Below are 21982 nucleotides of genomic sequence, written 5' to 3'. Positions count from 1 at the left end.
TTCTCCTCTCCCTGCAGGAAGCTGGATGGGATTTTCTCAAGTACTTACCCTAAGAAGAATCTGGTCAAGCTCCTGGAGGCAAAACTCAGAAAAATACGACAGCCTCCCACGACTAGGTCCTTCTGGAATTTTTAACTCTCAGACTTGCTCACACAGAGCCTCTAGCAATTTGTTAATTACAGTTCAGATTTTTTTTTCAACTCAGGCTATGGTTCCTGCAGTGATTTCCACTTGTAAGTTTCCTGGTAAGCTTGACTCCCTGTATTCGCGTATCTCTCTAATCTTAGTGTTTTGTCCTATGTCTCAACCTTTCTTATCAATCTAAGAAGAGTTACTGAAATCCAGAAGTCTTAGTGGCCATTATTTTTAACTTCCTTAATAAGAATCATTAAATAAGAATATAAGAATACCTTGATTAGTATTAATATATACATTCGATAAGGACAGGCCCAGAGGAAGGAAGGGCCCTATGGATAGAGCTCTCAGAGGTGACGTTGTGGAGTTTAAAGGGACTTGGATTGACCTAGAAGGATGGGCAAGCTTTAGATAGAGAAGATAGGTGGTTTTTCATTTAGAAAGTCAATTATTTACTAAGTATCCGTTGTTGTGACTAAAGAGGACAAATCAGTCAAAATGCAAAGGCACTAAACTATGTCAATCATCCTTACAAGGCAGAATTCTATTCAGTAAAAGAACTGAGGATATGAGCTATGTTTTAATTTTTTCTTTATTTCTCCCTCTTGAATGAACAGACATTGAAATAACTAAAATACAACCAATGATGAATGTTTTGAGCACCCATTAGTTCACAGATAAGCCACTAGTTATTGTAAGGCACTACATTATAATGTGTATACACAAATAATATAAAATATGGTTTCTTACAATATGAGAGTTTAGTGTAGTTGATAAATAAGAAATCCAAACATAAAGATATCTAATGTTCCTGACATAACCTTCAAATGTACTGAGGCTTAAAATCTTGAAGGTTTGCTCTTTATCTCCAAGGACCTTGAGAAAAATATTGGAGGAGAAACAGAAAAAATGCATTTGTAAAATAAGGGAGTCTTCTAGCTAGCATTCAGCCCTTAAAATAAGTATTTCAGGAAGTTATATAATAGAATTGCCTAGAGTAAGGCATTCTATTAGGACTTTCTCTAAAGGTATTCACAATTCTTTTCTGGATTTACATAGGTGAGGATTCACTATGGCTTAATCATCTTAGTCAACTATAATGGCCTTGATTTGTGCAAGATCCAAAAGGAAAAGAAGACAGAGTCAGAGGCATGGAATAACCCCCCCCCCCCGCCACAGACTAGTCCAAAAAGTTGAAAACTTTCAACTGGGAAAATGCAGGCGATGATTGTAAGGTTAATGAGATGTCCTGGGTGAGGCTGCACATCTAGACATTGGGTTAAGGGGTGTACCTGTAGAAGATAAATTAGATTCCTGCTGCAGAGCTCCACTTGGAGCACATGCCGACATTTGCATTTTGTAGTTCAAATATTCAGGAGGAACAATTCTGGGTCGTGAAGCTGCCTAGGTCTTCCAGAGTAGTAGCAGAGATTCCAGGTACCTCTTGATAAATTGTGGTTACATTAACTGGTCTAAACCAGGGAGATTTGGCTGAGAGGATTCTGTGACAGCATGATCCCATCCTCTTCCATTCCTGCTTCAGAAAAGGGAATTTGACTTCTGTTTTCTCTCCTGGCTTCGACCTCCCCTACTACATATTTTTCCTTTCCCGTCAAAAAAGGCAACTTTTTTTTTCAAGGAGCATAGAGATGGGATGGCATGGAGTGCACTGTATAGTTAATACAATTTATGTAATCAGGTAAAAATCGTGATTTATCCACTTTAGAAACGTGTGAGGTGGCTGGGTGCGGTGGCTCACACCTGTAATCCCAGCACTTTGGGAGGCCGAGGCGGGCAGACCACCTGAGGTTGGGAGTTTGAGACCAGGCTGACCAACATGGAGGAACCCCGTCTCTACTAAAAATACAAAATTAGCCCAGCGTGATGGCGCATGCCTGTAATCCTAGCTACTTGGGAGGCTGAGGCAGGAGAATTGCTTGAACCCGGGAGGTAGAGGTTGCGGTGAGCTGAGATCGCGCCATTGCACTCCAGCCTGGGGGACAAGAGCAAAAAGCCATCTCAAAGAAAAGAAAAGAAACGTGTGAGGCAATCCTGTGTCTACGTGTCCTCATAGGTGTCCACCTCATAGGTGTTCACTGCCATAGGAGGCAGCATCCTCACCTAATGTGGCAGGAAAGTTACTCATCAGGCATTTCTGCTTCAGCCACCAGGCAGGTTTTAGTGCCTTTTGTGTTTCTGTTTCTGTTTTAATACCTCATAGGTTACCTTTGTTACCTTTACGGTTTGAGGTTTAAGTGCTGTACTCATTCTAAGGGAAGAAGGAATGCATTGTAAACGTTTGACGTAGTAAAGTTTCTGTAAAGTGAAGTAAATTTAAGGGGAATTTAAAAAATTCCTGCCATCTGATGGCAATAGGGGAAGCTAGTCCTCTATTTCCAAGAAGATCATCTTATGGAGACAAACCTCCCTCGCTTTTGTAATAGCTACACTCTTCATCAAACCCAACACTAATTTTTTTGGTCAACGCTACTACTGAATCACTAAATCTACCAAATTAAGTATGCTTCTTTTTAAAATGTATTTTTAATTAATTTTTCTTTTCTTTTTTTTTTTTTGAGATGAAGTTTCGCTCTTGTCGCCCAGGCTGGAGTGCAGTGGCGCAATCTTGGCTCACCGCAACCTCCGCCTCCCGGGTTCAAGCGATTCTCCTGCCTCAGCCTCTGGGGTAGCTGGGATTACAGGTGCCTGCCACCATGCCTGGCTAATTTTGTATTTTTAGTAGAGACAGGGTTTCACCACGTTGGCCAAGCTGGTCTTGATCTCTCGACCTCAGGCGATCCACACGCCTTGGCCTCCCAAAGTGCTGGGGTTACGGGCATGAGCCACCACGCCCAGCTAAGTATGCTTCTAATTATACTTTAAGGATATATGAATATAAGCTATTATATGTTGTAATGACTGAAATCCCCTAAATTCATTCTTTATCATTACTTCTTAAGGAAAGTTTTCTTCTGGTATATGTGTTCTCAGTTCATGCACACATTTTCAAAAGCAACTCCTTGGATATGTCAAAGAATATGTACTCATAATTTGCAAAGTTCAAAGCTGTGGCCTGCATTCACTTCTGTTTCCTTTGTTCTGGTGCTCAGGGCCTCTGTACAGAGATTGGTGAATGAGATATGTCTCATATTCTTGTTATATCTTTAGGAGATTTGTCACTTTCCATTACACATAAACACTTATATAAACATACATAAATATATTGCCAATAATAGTCTTTACAGTTCATTCCTTGGTATGCAATGGTTACCTTCTAAAGCCTAGGGGAAAAAAAAGGATTCCTTCATATAGTTAAGGAGAGAGATAGATGGAACTCCAATTGAATTGGCAGTTGCCATTCTAGTGACCAGATAGAGTAGACCAGGCATGCTCCTATTAGGTGTGTAACATGATTATGGAAAAGACATCAAAAATTTATCGAGGGTAAGGGCTATTTCTGTGTTTTGATAATTCCGGTATACTTAGTTACACCTGTAGCTCAGAAACACTAAACGAGTCTGTCTCCTGGTTTTGTGTTGAGTTGGAAGGCCTCCAAATAATGTTTACGTGCCAATAATCCCATGAATGCTGTGTTGGTTCATTGGCTTCCTGGTCACTATTTGGAAGTAGCTCTCTAAAGTCACCAGTGATGTCTTTGCAATCCAGACAAATGCAGGAGTTATTATTTGTTTTTTTTTTTTAGTCCTCACTCTTCACATTTCAATAGCATTTGGCATTTCTCTTACAGCTTTTTCTCTTTCATTGTTCTCTCTTCTCATCTAGTGTATTAAAAATGAATGTTTCTATAAAATTATTTCCATGTATTCTGCTTTTCTCTCTTGCACTTATTTTGAAGTAAGGAGATTAGAAATCAGAACTTCAGGTTTTAAAAAAAGAAAATCAAATAAGGAGAGACGAAATGTCATTGCAAATTGCAGTTAGCATTTGGTTTGACAGTGAGGAATAGAGACCTAAAATAATAGTGACTTAAACAAGAAAAAAAGCTTATTTTTTTCTCTCATGTGAAAGTCTCAAGCCAGGCAATCTGGAGTGGTGTGGGAGCTCTGCTCCATACAGTCTTCAGAGATCTAGGCTCTCTCAAGCTCTCTGCTCTCATCTTATGATGCCTTCTTGCCCCTTATGTACTCATAGTCTAGGCAGAAAGGTAGACAAAGGAACAGAAAAAAAGAGCAAAGTGTGTGTGTACCATCTCTTTTTTTTTTTTTTTTATACTTTAAGTTTTAGGGTACATGTGCCATCTCTTTTAAGGAGGTCCTTGGGAGCTGCTTTATGGATATGTTCACTTATATCTCATTGGCCAGTACTTTGTCATCCAGTGATGCTGCTTACCTGCAAAAAAGGTCAGGAAATGTAGTCTTTATTCTGGATAGCCATATGCCCATATGAAAATTTTATTACTGTAGGAGTGGAAAATAGATATTTGTAAAGACTTTCTCCTATATTTTCTTTTACCAGTTTTAATATTTGCTTTTTATAAGTATGTGTTTTACCCATGTGCAGCTAGTTTTGTTTATTGTATTAGGTAATAAACCTAATTTGACTTTACTTTCCTATCAGGTAATTAATTAATGGAGTACCCTGTATTAATTTTCTCCCAATGACCTATAATGGCCTTTCTGACAATGTTCCCAAATATGCACGGATCTGTCCCTATACACTCTATTCTGGATTTTCCTCATCTATTGTCTTTCCTGTACCAATACCATATGACATCTTTATTGTGAGCTTAAATCATGAGAAATGGCCAATATTTGTTTCGGACCTGTAAAAAGTCAGTTTCATGGGATTCAAAATTAATGCTATAGTTTTATAATAAGCTTTGTTATAGCCAATTACTTCCCTAACTTTTCTCATTGACATTTTCTTTCTAAGGAGTATATTGATTATTAATGGCACCATACTTTTTTAGATATACTTTAGAATTGGCTTTCTCTGTTCCAAAAAAAGAACACTTTTAGCATTTTAACTTGAATTTTGCTGAATTTATACATAATTTTGTGAGATAATGGATATCTATTTAGTATTCCATCTTCCTATCTGTGAACATGGTATACATTTACATTTATTAGGTATTCTTTGATGCTTTTCAATTAAATTTTTAATTTTCTCAATAAATATCTTCCATATCTTCTAACATATCTTGGTACAATATTTTAGTCCTATCTTATTCACATTACTATAATTATTTTACATCCTGTCATTACTTGTATTCACCCACATATTTATCACTGTATTTGCTTATCATTTCTTCTCAAATATCAATCCTACTTCGTGAGCTGACCTTTTTTCTTCTTGAAAAACATTCTTCAAGTCTTCCTTTGGTGAGAAAGTGCTGCTACTAAAGTTTTCCTATTTTATTTTTTTGTCTACAAATATCTTTATTTTACTCTTGTTCTTGAATGAAAGTTTAGGCAAAGATATAATTATTGGTTGTATCTATATATAACTATATAATATCTATATATATTATATCAATCTATGTTAGATTGACCATTATCTTCCCTGAACCCTTTGGAAATGTTACTCTACTGGTGTTTCCAAGATTGCTGATGAGAATCTGCTGACAGTCTGTTACCCATTTGTGTGTCTATCTATCTACTTATACATAGATAGACACACACACACACATATATATATATACATATAGACACACACATATATTTCTCACCAGCTGCATTTTAGGTTTTCACTTTGTCACTGGCATTTTGAAATTTCACTACCTACCATGTAATTAAAGTGTGGGGCTGAGCGTGTTGGCTCACACCTTTAATCCCAGCACTTTGGGAGGTCGAGGACAGTGGAGCACCTGAGGTCAGGAGTTCCAGACCAGCCTGGTCAACATGGTGAAACACCATCTCTACTAATTTTTGGGCAAAGACACACCCCAAAATTAGCTGGGCGTGATGGCACGCACCTGTAAATCCCAGCTACTCAGGAGGCTGAGGCAGGAGAATCGCTTGAGCCTGGGAGGCGGAGGTTGCAGTGAGCTGAGATTGCTCCACTGCACTCCAGCCTGGGTGACAGAAAAAGAGTCTGTCTCAAAAAAATAAAAAATAAAATAAATAAATCAAGGGTGGATTTTCTTTTACTTACTTTTATTGGTGTTTGTTGTACTTTCTGAATTAAAGATACATGTCATAGACACTGAAAAATTCAAAGCTATTATTTCTTTCTTTTTTTTAAGATAAGGTGTCACTTTTTTTTTTTTGTTTTGAGATGGAGTCTTGCTCTGTCACCCAGGCTGGAGTGCAGTGGCGTGATCTTGGCTCACTGCAACCTCTGCCTCCTGGCTTCCAGCGATTCTCCTGCCTCAGCCTCCTGTGTAGCTGGGACTACAGGCGTGGGCCACCATGCCTGGCTAATTTTGCATTTTTAGTAGAGACAGGGTTTCACCATGTTGGCCAGACTGGTCTTGAACTCCTGACCTCAGGTGATCTGCCTGCCTCAGCCTCCCAAAGTGCTGGGATTACAGGTGTGAGCCACCGTGCCTGGCCATGGTTCTTTCACCCAGGCTGGAGTGCAGTGGTGCTATCTCAGCTCACTGGAACCTCTGCCTTCCAGGCTCAAGTGACCTCCTGCCTCAGCCTACCAAGTAGCTGGGGCTACAGGCATGTGCCATTGTGCCTGGCTAATTTTTTGTTTGTTTGTTTTTTATAGAGACAGGATCTCACCATTGGTGCCCAGACTAGTCTCATATGCCTAGGCTCAAGTGATTTGCATGCCTCAGTTTAACAAAGTGCTGGGATTATAGGCATGAGCCACCACCCCCAGCTTCAAAGCTATTATCTCTTTGTGTCAACTCTTCTCCATTTCTCTGTTTTATTTTCCTTTGTAAACTCCAAATAGATGTATGTGTGTCCTGATCATTCTGTTCTCAAAGTCTCTTACACTTTTTTAAATTTCAAAGATGTTGCATTGTTTTTAGTTTCTTCAGATCTTTTTTACAAGTTCTTCAATTCTCCCTTCAGCTGTGTCTAACCCATTGTTTAACCAATCTGCTGAGTTTTGAAGTTCAAAATTTACATTGTTCATTTATACAAGTTATTTTGAGTTCTTTTTCAAATGTGCCTGGTGAATTCTTGAAAACACCTTGTTCTATTGTTCTTATTTTTAATTATCTTTCACCCCCCCCCCCCAAAATTTAAAGCATACTTTAAAATAATTTGTATCTGATTCTTCAATATCTGATGACCATGGGTTATTTTTCTACTGGCTCTTATTTTTAGTACATTATTTAATTGAGTTTTTGATAATTTTCTATTGTAAGCTTTCCTTTGGCTGATATTAATTTATAGGGATCCTGAGGAACCTAGGTTAAGAAAACGTATCTCCACACAGGATCTGTGTTTCTTCTGCCAGGCGTCCTGGGCTACTATCAGCCTGGAGACCCTTAAACATTAATTTTGCTTGTGGTCTACTAGAATGCAAAGATAATAAATGTTCAAATCTCCAACCCATGTGAGGGCAGGCTTATCATTATGTTTTTTTTGTTTTGTTTTGTTTTGTTTTGTTTTGAGATGGAGTTTTGTTCTTTTTGCCCATCCTGGAGTGTAATGGTGCGATCTCGGCTCACTGCAACCTCTGACTCCCTGGTTCAAGTGATTCTCCTGCCTCAGCCTACTGAGTAGCTGGGATTACAGGCGTGTGCCACCATGCCTGCCTCATTATGAATTTTGAAGGGAGGCTCATTTTTTCTTTCTACCAAGACCTAAGGCAAACTGATTCCTCTGTTCCTCTCTTTCCCAGCGGATGAAATCTTTTCTGGCTTACATTTTTTTTTATTGAGGGAATATCGCTTCAAGTAACCCAACTTTCTCCAGAAGGCTCAGATTTGACTTATTACCTTGAGCCAGACTGAAGGCTTTTCACTTTCCCTGGTTGTAAACATTAAAAAACCCAAGCATCTAGATTCCTGCTCTCAGGAGATGCCCTTGGACAGTCTGTGAGTTTAGCATTTTCTCACACTAAGTTTCAAGCTCTTTTTAGCCTTTTTGAACCGTGAATTTCTTTCACTTTCTTTGTTGCTCATTAATGTATTTTAAATTCTATTTATTTTATTGTATCCAGAATTTCTTAGGGTTTATGGTAGGTTTTTCCTAGAATATGTAGCCAATCATATTGTCAAATGCTGGTTTTCCTTCCTTTGGAATGGTATCCATTCCTAATTATGAGCATCATCAATACTATGCTTATGACAGTGAATCCTACTCCATACCTTCAGACTTCAACTTTCATCTACTTTCTACTTCCCAAGGCATTTGGAAATATGAACTAGCAACTTCAATATTTTATTAGCTGTTAAAGCTCTCAAGGTGTCCAAAATAAAATTTATCTTCTTCCACAAATTGATTCTCCCATTAAACATTGCTATTTTGTTATTATAACATGTCAATATTATTCCTACTTTTTTCATATGTAAACCTTGAAAATACTAGAAATGATTAATGAACTTTAATGTATTTCATGCAGTCTGTCACTGACTCTTCTTTGTCCCAATGCCTGTATTATAAATGATCATTTCTAATTCCCACCCAGAATACAAGGTCTTAACTACCTCAATTAAGATTAATTCCATATAATTTTAATGCAACTAGTAGATATCGATCATCTGCTTTGTGAAAGGTAATATGCAAGCTGCTACAGATTATACAAAAGACATACATTATTTGGTCATTTCCATAAGGTTCTTAGTTTCACAGGAATAACAAAAATATGATATTGCTGGGCACAGTGGCTCATGCCTGTAATCTCAGCACTTTGGGAGGCCAAGGCAGGTGGATCACTTGAGGTCAGGAGTTGAGACCAGCCTGGCCAACATGGTGAAACCCCGTCTCTGCTAAAAATACAACAATTGGCCTGGCATGGTAGTGGGCACCTATAACTCCAGTGACTTGGGAGGCTGAGGCAGGAGAATTGCTTGAACCTGAGAGGCAGAGGTTGCAGTGAGCTGAGATAGTGCCATTGCACTCCAGCCTGGGCAACAGAGCCAGACTTCATCTCAAAACAAAAAATATCTATTAAATCTATCTATTATTATTGTTTAATTAAGTATGGACTAAATATAATCAATTGCCTAAATATATGGGTCAGGTATGGATGGGGGAAAGAAAGGAGAGATTTCATTGTTGGCTGAATTTAGGGAATGAAATGAAAGATAACACAAAAAAGCAGAGCTGGGAGCTGAGCGAGAGGGTTTTCTGATGACATTATCTCAGTACCTGAATCTAGCTAACCAAGCCACTAATTTCCCTCTTCCTTTTCTTTATTTTTCTTTAGTTTCTTCTGGCTAACTTCATTTTTTTACATTTTTAAAACAAATTGGTTATTTTATTCTAGCCATCTTTCTTTCCCCTTTGGAAGTATAATTAGGGTTTAATTTCGATAATAAAAAAACTTATTTCTCTATGTCTGGTGAGGTTTTAATCTTGCAGTGCTCTGAAATGTTCACCCCTTCCTCTGCAGTTACTACTGTTCCTCAATGCTCATGCCCCCTTAAAGCCCACCTTGACTTCTATCACTGTTTTCTTCCATTTTAAGGTATCTATTACATTTATTTTCTGGCTTTTTTTTTTAGAACAAAAATACAACACGTAGCTAAGCATTAACTATTTTCTATCTGTGTTAATTCCTGTCTTTGATAAACATTTAATATAGGAAAGTAAGTATTTTGTAGTCATCTTTCTATTCTTCCAGTGATAAACACAGTGACTGATTGATAGTGCTTAATACATGTTCATTAGAGTAAATTTTGCGGAGAGAGGACTGTTCCCTGGGAAATAAATAAAACAAAAACAAAAAACACTTCATTCCTCCTACAGCTGCCACCAACTACAGTGAAGTCTGATGCATCATGCATATTTAGAAGACAATTTATTCTAGACTTTATGGGTGGCCAAGAATGTTTTTTTCAAATATTAATATTCTTGCATCAGAAGTATACTTTAAAATTAACCTTCAAACAGAGAAACGAATTATTGGCTACAAATGTAGATTATTAAAAGTATTTTAACTCAGTTCCAGAGAATTTGTTCCATCATTGGATTCATTAATTTACAGACTTTGAGTCTCTGATTCTAATTTGCCACTAGTAATATTGACTTTTTAAAAAATCATGAATTATGTGTGTTATATTTGCTGTCCTCTATAAACTATAAAGAAATTCTGCTTTAGATCTGGAGAAACACATGTTTAGGTTACTCACCGTTGGCGATTCTATGACTATGGTACTGCTAATCTATGACCATGGAGGCAGAGATCTTATTTGTCGTGTTCATTCTTTTTATCTTTAGTGAGTTTCCAATATAGTTCCCTGAACATGATAGGTTCTCAATAAATATTTGTTGAATAAGTGAACAAATTAATGTATATATATATTAAGGACCAACACTTATGTTTATACAAGCTGGATCTTGTACAATATACCATTTTCAGAATATAATGATATATGGTCACACAGTAAATTGGCATTGCTATTGCAAAGGATTTATTTGGTGTTCAATAAGGTAAAGCGCTAATGCAAATAGAGAAAAATGAGAGGCCAAAGAAACATGAGAACAGCAGGCAGATATTTTATAATACACTTCACATTTTTAAATTACTAAATAATGTAATTTCATGAGAGATCCTTGTTTCATTATGAAGTTTGTCAATAAACAGAATGATGGCCTGAGTGGTTAGAATATCTAGTTTTTTGTTGTAGCTCTGCTGTTTACCACCTATGTGACCCTGGGTTATATCATATCACCTTTCTGGCCCAATTTCCTTATTTATAATAAAAAGGCTGATTTAATTTTGCTAAGATCTCTCCCAGCTTTAATTCTCTATATTTGGTATTTACTTCACATATGTTGTATGCTCCAAACTCACTGGCCCACAGTTGGAGGGACTAGCTATCCCTGCTGCTACTCAACTTAAATTGGGGAAATAAAATATAACCAGTAAATAGTTTTCATGCAGGAATGCAAGTCCAGTGAGATCAGATCTTCATATTTTTTTAAAAAAGAAGCCAGAAATCTGATTTCTATGTGAATTTTAAACTTTTAAATATTGGCTATGAAGTCAAATAGCTTTAAAATACTGTTTAATCCAAACAAAACATAACAGCAGTTGGGCTTGGCCCATGGGCTGTCAGTTTATGTTTTAAAAGGATTTTTCTGCCCTTATCATCTTCAATTCCTACTTTTCTGGTCAGTGAACAACAGTTGTTGTACAATATTTTTCTGCTGCCTTTATAAAAGGTAGATGAAGCCTAATAGAGTTGGGTCACAATATGTGCGGGTTTAGCGTTCTAGGATGACATTGTAGTTGTGACATGAGGAAAACGATATTCTTGAGCAAATTTGACTTCAGATTTTCAAGGTGTAATATGGCTAAGTTATTTTACGTAGCTTATAATCTGAGAATTGTCAAATTATTTAGGAGAAGAAAAGAGATATCTAGGAAGGGTGTCAGAAGTAGTATACCAAGCAATTCAGTAGAAACCTTGGGGTTTATTTCCCACTTTTAATCAATGAGAGAACTTATAAAGTGGACTTGGTGAGGGAGGAATGTTGTTTCATATCTAACCCAATTCTATTTCTTCTACAAGTTTTCTGCCTGGTGAGGTCATCCCAACTTAATTAACATTTAATTGAATCAGAATGGTGTGGCAGAAAATCACATGGACCTTGGAATCAGACTTGGGTGTGAGTCCCATTTCAGTCACTAACTGGATGACTTTAAAGTTATTAATCTTGTCTGTGCCTCAGATACCTCTTTTACAAAAAGAAATAATACTTCACTGTGAAGTATTATTTTTGTTTTATATTTGTATTATATTTGTTGAATGGACTAGAAGTACCACATATACTGATATGGAGTGTATAATAGATGATAGCCAAACTTACCCTAAACTTACACTATTTTTGGAGCCCTTGCGATGTAAAAGTTTCTGTTTACACCTTATAGAGGAAATAAACGTGAACAAAGCATTATTCCTATTCTCAAGGACTAAATTCTGTAATTGGGGAAATAAAATATAACCATATAGGGCTATCAGTCATGGTAGACTTTAATATACACGAACCAACAGCATGAGAGCACACATGGAGAGAGTTCTGTATTACCTCATTCATGAACACTTTTGTTAACCCTCTAGTTGAAAATTGCTTGAGTTTTGGTTATTTCCATAGGAAGAGCCAGGTTGAGAAGAAATACCAGGAATGATTTCCTGGAGCAAAACACAGCTTGAGAAAATGCATATTTCCCAGAAATCATAGGGCATATAGTAAAGATATTGATGGAAAATTATGGAAGAGATAAAAGATTGGAAAGCAAGGTTTTAAAAGAATGGTGGCATTCACAGAGGTATACAACTTCCCCATCACCAGATTCCAATAGGTCAAGGTCATGCAAAAATGTGGTAAAAGTATAAATTGTGAGATCTACCTTCCAAAAACATCAAGAAATTTCAGATAAAGTTCAAAAAAGGACAAATGAAATAAAGGATAGAAGAATGACCTAACATTTTGCCTCCTATGAAGAACAGGTACTCTGTCCTTGAAGAGGTAGAGATTAAAGGAGGACTTGGTAGAACATATTGATTGGACTTAATTTAGAGGAAGGGCCAACTTAGGTGAGAAGTTACAGGAAGTGAAAATAATTAGAAGATCAAAGGTTTTTATCTTAGGGATATGGAGGAAGTCTTATCTCCTTTGGCTTCTACTGTTCTAGCAGAGGCCAAGTATGACTGACTTTCTTTCTTCAGCTGTGAGGACATATAAATAGGAACATATCCTCACACACATAAAAAATAATGCTGCAATTCAAAAGGGTGGTGCTATCTTTTCTTGGGTGGAAGAAAAAAATTAGAAGTATTCTCATTCCTATTATTGACATGATTCAAGAAGTTGTCACAGGTATAAAAATTGAGCATCAGTTGTGAAAAATGAATATTCTGAAATCAAGAAAGATTTTATAAGAATTTTCAAAAATGAATACTTAAAAGGAGGCAGTGAAAAGTTGATTGAGTGCTCTAAAAACTGTTTCAGATGTTTGAAACTGAACATTTCTCCAAGAACCAAGGAAATTAAAAAATTGGAATTCTTGAGAGACAAAAAAGTAAAAATTAAATGCAAATTTAGAAAAAAAATCCACACGTGAGTGCAAATTTAAAACAAAAAATGCACACATAAAATGCAGAGTAGCCGAACAGAAAGAATAAGAATAAGAAAGAAATAAAAGAAAATTGTTCTGAACTGACAAGTCTTTGAGAGGATTCACCAATTATTCAGATAATTTTAATAGAAATATACCAACACCTATTTATAGCTCATTGAATTTTTGTAAATCAAAGATGAAGTAAACTTAAAAGCACAGAAGCTAATTAGGTTGAAAAATATCTAAGATGAGACTGGTATTGCACTTCTCCAAAATACTAAAGATAAGAGGAAGGAAAATGAGCAAAAGTGTTTTGAATTTTAAAGAATTGTTACCCAAGACAATATATATATTATTTTTTATATAAATGTACACATATTTGGGCAAGGAAAATATATTTCAAATATTCAGGGGCTGGGACATATCTTATAAGTGTATACGTCCTGAAAAAAATTACTTGCATATACATTCTGGGAAGGCAAGTGAAAATTAAGACAAATCATGAACTCAAAAATAAGAATGCTGGGAGGCAGGCCAAGGCAGGCAGATGACTTGAGCCCAGGAGTTTGAGACCAACCTGGGCAACATAATGAGACCCTCTCTCTACAAAAATACAAAAATTAGCCACGTATGGTGTTGTGCACCTATAGTCCCACCTACTTGGGAGGCTGAGGTGGGAGAATCACCTGAGCCCAGGAAGTCATAGTTGCAGTGAGCTGTGATCACACCTCTGCACTCCAGCCTGGGTATCTGAGTGAGACCTTGTCTCAAAAAAAAAAAAAAAAAAAAAAAAAGGTATTGAGCTCTAAAACTATTTAGCAATAACCTGGAGGTGATAAAACATTTTGCATATAAAATAATCTTTAAAATAGAAGTTACATTCTAAAAGTGATAGTAATTTGCTTTAAGAACTCAACTGAGATTATATCATAAAAACTGGGAAATTGATGAAGAAATGAAAGAGTAATAACATAAAATCATGTAATGTAATGCAGTGGGGGAATAAATGGATACTTTTCATTCTCAATTCTAATAGAGAAACTAGTTTCTAGTATCTTTTTTAAGATAGAAGTTAATTAGTTCATCATTGCTAGAAAGAAAACATTATGTAAACCTTCCAAATCACTAGAGAAAAAAAAGAAAAGATAACCTCAGATAAATCCTATGATATAGTATTAAACAAAATTAGGAGTAACTTTATATACTAAAATGTCAACAATGGTGAATTCTATGTTATCCAAGTGTGAAACACATTGACTTGTTTACTTATGTAGTCTTGTTTGTATCTTACATTTTATAATAAATACAGATTAATTATATAATAAAAACAGATAATTTATTTTTGAGTCAGTGTAGCAAATGATATAGAACAAGCAAAACTTATTTTTAAATACAGAAAAATGCTACTGTGATATACTATCAAATGAAAGAAAGCAGGACGTTTCCACTTTTGTAAATAAGGACACATGTAAATAGAACAAAATATCTCTGAATGGAGAAAATAGGGATGAGATTTATATCATTTGTCACAATTTTCTGCACAAATTTCCTGCAATTACCTGAGGTTGTTTAAAAAATAACAATAACAATAAAAAAACCAGTCAAACAAAAAATGTCATGGAGAGGGTTTGGCTGGGGCTGCAGTGGTGAAGGACTTGAATACCAGGGTAAGGGTTTTGGGTGTATTCTTTAGTCAATGGGGAGCCACTGAAGGTTTTAAGATTAAGACAGAAGTATTGTTATTGTTTAGGTTGGGCTGAAGTGGAAAATTGACTGGAATTTATTGTAATTGTCTAGACAGGAAGTAATAAGGGCCAGAACTACATTTTGCAGGATAGGAAAGAGAAGAGACATTTGATCAGAGACAGGAACAATCAAAGGGATTTGGTGGCAGTATTCAATGACACAGAGTACAGGAAAGAGAGAAGCCAAAGGCATATGGAATCAAAGTTATTGAGGTAAATTGGTACTCATAGCAGGGGTGGGTAGTGAAGGGAAGCAAGAAGAGGGGAAAGTTTAGAAAAAACGATGATGAATTTGATTTTAAATATATTTCTGATCCTGAAGAGGCATCACACATTTAGGATTTTTACGAGATAATGGGTGCAAATCATATCTTACGTTTTAACTAAACTGCACCTAGAAAGTCTGCTTTAGGACCTGTAATGATCTCATTGAATCATCCTTCCCTTCCTTGACAGCACATGGGCAAAAATAAAAATAAAAACAGAGAGTGCCCAGTCCTCTATGGCCAGTGACCCACACCATGCCTGCTTCCTTCCCTGCCAAGAGATTGGAAGCATAGCTCTAATTCCAATGCCAAAGATCCTACCCAGGTCCAAGAGTCCTTAGGTAAATCACCTTACATTTCCAGCCAGAACTGCTTTTAGACCCTAACATCTAAGGTCCCTGCTCTGGGCTTGGGACTTTAGAGGGTTGGCCTTTCCCATAGGGTGTAAGGAGTTTGCAGAGCTCCCCTCTCCTAGAACTACCCCACTTCTACACTGCTGAGATGCTGAAGCCACTTCTCAAGGCTTGCTCAGCCCTCTTCCCCAGTTGGTCCTCCCAAGAGTGGGCTGTGCTGTTGCTGTGTTTCTCTTGACCCAAGTGATGGTTAAGAGGTGGTTGTTTTGGAGGAGAAATATGGGTTGAGATAGGTTTCAGTGTCCACTTCATTGGCCTAAGGCTCTTTGTGGTGAAAGATGACAGTGTGGGAAAAGAAGATGGGTGGACCACAATATGAAGTTTTCTTTATACTCTGGCCATGAATCATGCAGTCCACAGGGGCCATTCAACCCTGTGTAGACAGCAAGCTGAGGCAACAAGCAGAGCAATGAAAGGTGAATTAAAATCGAGGAATAGCTTAATATTTTGGTTACTGGTCCTAGTATGCTGAACATACTGGCAGGTAAGGGAAAAATTAGGCACAGATTTTTAACAAGGCTTTCTCCCAAACCACAATTAGAGGTCCATTTGAGGAATCTTCCTGTCCCTTTGTGACTCACAGTAGACTCTAATCACCATTTCCTTTAGTAGCCTGTGATAGGAAACACCAAGACAAGGGAGGAGATGCATCACACTTTGGCATTCCCTGGTTTTCTGCTTTATTGGTGTGGTTCTTAAATTAAGAAGACCACCGTCCTCATGCTCCTCTTTAACCATGCTTTTTTCCACATCCTCGGCACCACTCATAGGACCAGAATGGCTCTCAAAGGGTAGATTTAACCACTTAGGTGACTTTTGTACCTCTGCCTCTGCACAGAGCCCTTCTTCCTTCTTTTATTGTGTGACCCTGTATATAATGACTATAGCTGATTGGATCAAAGGGGAGGTACATGAACCAATGTTTCCAGGCATTAGAGCAGGGGTGTCCAATCTTTTGGCTTCCGTGGGCCATGTTGGAATAAAAAGAATTGTCTTGGGCCACACATAAAATATACTAACACTAACGATAGCAATGAGCCAAAAAAAAATTGCCAAAAAAAAAAATCTTTCAAGAAAGTTTACGAATTTGTGTTGGGCTTCATTCAAAGCCATCCTGGGCTGCATGCGGCTCGCAGGCCATGGATTAGATCAGATTGCACTAGAGAGTAGTGATGGTGCATTGTCTAAAATGCCATATGGGACCATATGTGACCAAAGGAGGCCAATCAAGATACAAAAGAGATAGGAGAGGCAAAGATGCACATGCCCATGGTGCCCAAGAGAAACAAAAAGGTTGCCCTACTCCTGGAATTCCAGTTCACATTCTTGTCCTTGTGTGGCTCTTCTCTTCTTTGTCTTCTCTCAGCTGTCAGTGAAATCTTCTTTGCTTTCTTATAGTGTAAATATTTTGCATAAGCTAGTTAGGTCTCTATTCCTTGTAACAACTGCAAAGACACTCAGGTCAGATTACACTTCGGAGAACTTAATCGTTTATCTTTAAGATTCAATGTTTGACTTTACTAGATTTGCATCATGTTGACCTTTCATCTCTCCCGAGAGTTTATACAGATTGCCAAGGCCACTCAGACAACATATGGCAGATTGGGATGAGGAACCTTGGCTTGGTTTTCTTTCAGCAGCTATCCTCATACTATGCTCTGTTTGACAACTCAGTGCCTACCTCCTAAATACTGATAAATAAGATCAACAATAACTTATCAAACATATTCACAAGCCCCTCAGTACAAGGTTCAAATTCAAATTTTCCCAGTTAACTAAATTTTTTCTCTCCTTTCTTTTACAGTCAGTCCTTCTTCTAGCTCATTGTAGATGCTATGATGAATTCAGAGGATGGTGAACAAGATTCTATATGCATCCTTTTCACTCTTCTGATGACACATCACTTGAATAGCTTCATGGGAAGGTAAGGTAATAAAATTTCCATTATACTCAACCCAGTAATTTGAAAAAGCTATTAAAACATTTAAACAGTGCATCACAGCTGTCCCTCTGACCTCGGGTCTCAAAATTCAGTTGTTCTTCTCTGTGGAAACAGTCACAGGTGATGAGAGGCATGAAGCGTCTCTTTTATCCAGTGCTTGCACCACTGTGGCTCTAGGGACCTCTAAGCTGGGCTACCTGAATTGCACAGGAGAAATTCTCTGCGTATCAGCTGTGTATTACATGTAGTTCACTGTGGAATTGCACTTAGCACAGTACATGGTTGGCAGGCTGACTCCAATCTGCTTCCCGTATAATTTTGGCTCATGTGCCCAGATGTTGCATTATATTAAATATTTAAGCCCTTATAGCATCTATGTAGGTAAAATAGAAAGGGACTCAATCTATTGCTTCAAGTTTTGTACCACATTTCAGTTTGCAAAATACTTTCACACCCATAACCTTACTTGCCCTCAGAAAGCTCTATGAAGTTGACACAGTTATCTCCATTTTATAGTTGAGCACACAAGACTCAGAAAGGTCAATAACTTTGATAAATGGCAGAGCTAGAACCTGATCTCCAAGTCAAGTATTTTTGCTACCATTCATTCTTTCATTAATTCACTCAATAAACATTTCTTGACTACCTATGTGGATAGGATATTATGCTGAAAACCAGGCACACAGAAGTGAACTTCTTTATCCATCTTGAGAGATCAGAGAATACTTCTCAGTAGGAGTGGTGTCCAAGCTGAGAAGGGAGGAAGTGATAGATGTTATTCAAGCAAAGTGGGAGGTCTGGGAGTATTCCATGCAGACTAAATTTTTATCTTTAAACTATTCCAATGGATCTGACAAATAGGAATGAGACAAAGAAGCTAAGGATTAAAGTTCCACAATTGTGCAATCTCATATTTAAAAGATGAGGATTGCATAAATTAAACTTCCATTTTTTCTTTAGAAATTATATGAATTTCTTGTTATTACCTTCTCAAGACCAAAGAAAGTCTGATACTTTTCAAAATGACTTTTTGTTTGTTTTCACTAACTTAGTGATGACTGTTTGGCAACCTGGTTTGTTTTTATAATCTCAATGATAATTGAAGATGGAGTATTAACCATGTCCCTTTCACAAGAACACTGAGGCTGTCTCCTCTTTTGAGGCCGTTGCTTACAAAAGCTGGAACCTACTTTTAAAAAGCCAAATGGTATGGGTTGTTCACACAGCACCCCTTAGAAAGGGGGATGCCGAAAGCTGGAGCAAGGGGGCTGTTCCTGATATCTCACGGGGTGTTGATGCAGAAGGCAAATGCCTCCAGCCATCTAAGCAAGTCCTGACTTTTTCTACACACAGAACATCTCTAGACATGACAGGGACCAACAAAACTACAGACAGAATCCAAAGGACACCCTGGTTTGGATGTGTTAGAAGGTTCACTTGACTTGTCAGCTTTTAGGTTGGCAGTTATCAGGAAACAGGAAAGGGCATATAATCCTTGTTAAATAATTGAGTCTTAGGAGCACAGTTTTATCATCTTCCTAATGAATCCCATATTCTATTGGCTTTGAGGAGAGTCAACACCCAAACAATGTAATAAACATTGCATTTCAAAGCAGGAAAGTATTCACAGGGGCGGGGTGAGGAGATGCTTGACAACAGAATCCTGGGAACATCACTAGAAAGAAAGAAAGTGGGGGAACAATGCCAGAATGGGAGACAAAGCTGACCCAGATAGAAGTACAGGTAACATGTACAAGGAGAGGTAAACCCAGGGCACTTACACAGGCAGGAGAATGAAAGACATAGTTAAAAAGTTGTCTTCAATTGTCATTGATATAATTATTTCTAGATGAATACATTGCCAATAGATGGATTGGCAGTTCATCAGGTGAAATCATACTCCAAGCTTCATCATTATGGACTATCTGAAGAATAAGAACGAGGGGTGTGGAGAGATTCCTGTGCTGATTAAGTGGATTAGAAAGCTTTATGTAAGGATGAATGTAGAAACTTACAAAGGAATAAATAGAGGCATGAGAAGACATTTTCATATGATAATTACAGCATTATTGTTATTAAAATTAGTAAGACTCAGTTCTAACTTTGGAGGAGTTCACTGCTTAGAAGGGGAGATATGTAAATTAAAGGAGCCTGATGGTTTAATTTAGAGTGCTCTGGTAGAAATTTGTAGTGCCAAGACAGTACAAAAGGGAGTAACTATCTCTGCCTGGGGGAGTTAGGGAAAGCTTCCTGGTAGAGGAGACATATGATCTGGGTCTTGATGGATGAATAAGAGCTTGCCAGAACGAACAAGAAGGAAGCATATTCTAATAGAAAGGGAATTACCTGTTCTCTCGCGTACCTCTTTCCACTAATTCCTGTTAAAAACGAATATGTCATTTGAGAACGTTCACCCTTGTCATTGTCAAGGGTAAATTGATATATCAGAAATAAGAGTCCTGAGAACAGAGAACAGTGTAGTCCAATAGAAATATAATATGAGCCCCAAATGCAAGCCACAAATGTAATTTTAAAATTTATAGTAACCACATTTTAAAAAAAGGAAAGAAAAAGAGTTGAAATTAATTTTAATAATATATTTTATTTAACCTAATATATCAAAAATATTTTCATTTCAACATGTAATCAGTATAAAAACATTTTGATGTGATATTTTACATTCCTTTCTTGTACCAGATCTTTGAAATCTGTTACATATTTTACATTTACAGCACATTCCATTTCAGGCTAGCAACATTTCAAGTGCTCAATAGACACACGTGGCTAGTGGCTACCAGATTGGAAAGCTTAGAAAACCAGCTTGTTATTTTAGGGTAGTGGGAATGGGGACAGACTAGGATACCCTGTGGGAGGGAAAACCTAGAATTTGTATACAGGGGAGGCCAGGGGCAGGACGGGGACTCATGGTGCTTACTAAGGGCCCAGATGATGAGTTTTGCTTATCCAAAGCTGGCCAGCAAGGTCAGTGCTGGTGTCTGCTGTTCCACCCACAGAAAGTATGTCCAAGTCAAGTTTTCCTGGGAAAATTCTTATTTTGCTTTTTAAAAATTATTTTATTTAAAAAGCCCACAGGCTACTCGTCTCAACACCTAATAATGTCTTTCCCAGCTCTCTTAGGAAACAAGGCCTTGAAATTTCCCTCACATACTAGCCCCAGTGGACCCTGTCTCTATTCCATAGAAATGTTGCCCAGAAATGAGCTCATAGACCTTCTCATCATGGCCAGAGGCAAGCAGTACTGTCTGGGACACCAGGAGCAGAGGTCAGAGGCAAGCTCAACTTTCCTGAAATAATGTGCTGATATTTCCACTGCGAAAGATCGGTCATAGATGGTGCCTAAAACTGACTCAGCTCTGGCCAGGGCATAAGAGAGAATGGGTTCTTGAAACTCCTTAATCTCATCGTCCAGAATGGCCAAGGAAGTCAGTCATTGTGGACTTCCCCTCTTGTGTCTCGGCCTCCTGTTCCTCACTGACTCTCTGGGTTCTACCCAGACTTCTGGGCCTCATGCTCCACCAATACTTAAAATAAAATGGTAGGCAGAATGTCATTGCACTTGACCTGGTCATTTTCTTTTCAGGAAAACTCCCATTCACAGTTTTACTCCCACAAGTTCAGAGGGATCTACCCAACACTTGGCTGTAGCTGCTGGATATGTGACTGAGACAATAGAGATCAAGCGAAATCACTTAGTAAAGGAGATGTTATTTGGTCTGAGTCCTGTGCCAGCCCTTACTGCTTTTGTACATTGCCTGTGTTGTGCGTGGATACCAAAGGGTTATTTGAAGGAATAAGCCATTTACCTGCATCCTTTTTGGCAGTGCATAACTCAAGATCTCTGTGAAACTTACTGGAAATGATTAAAACACAGATACACTCTCTAGGAAGATGTCATGTACTTTTTGATGGAAAGCCAAGGCAGGTCAGAATGGATGCGCCGAATAATTTCTGTTTGGATTTTATCACCATCATCATCATTATCACTAGTATCATTATAATCTCCACTTTTTGCTTCTTTCTTGAGTTTTATATATTTTGATTATTTAATCAAGGAGAATGTTTTTACCCTGTCTTAAAGGCTTTTAGGCAGTCTAGTCCATCAGAAGACAATGTCTCTCTCTCTCTTTGTGTGTGTGTGTGTGTGTGTGTGTGTGTGTGTGTGCATCTACGCAAGTTTACTCTTTGAGTACAGGTAAATAAATAAGACGTGCCATTACTAAAATCATTATTGCCTGGGTCACTACCCATAATACCATCTGCTGGTATTTTATCAAGCCTCCTTCTATTAAAGGGCTGTTAAAT

At 37.6% G+C, this 21982-nt stretch overlaps 1 long non-coding RNA gene across 1 annotated transcript; it reads left to right on the top strand.

Annotated features, from left to right (window-relative positions):
- The first annotated feature begins 24 nt into the window (after window positions 1–24).
- LOC105370593 (uncharacterized) lies at window positions 25–21467 on the top strand. The gene is made up of 3 exons (XR_944072.2): window positions 25–245; window positions 17522–17641; window positions 20789–21467. It is a non-coding gene; the product is annotated as an uncharacterized LOC105370593 (long non-coding RNA).
- Window positions 21468–21982: the final 515 nt, after the last annotated feature.

Source organism: Homo sapiens, chromosome 14, assembly GCF_000001405.40.
Source record: "Homo sapiens chromosome 14, GRCh38.p14 Primary Assembly".
NCBI classification, from domain to species: Eukaryota; Metazoa; Chordata; class Mammalia; order Primates; family Hominidae; genus Homo; species Homo sapiens.
This window is presented reverse-complemented; position numbering and strand designations above follow the sequence as displayed.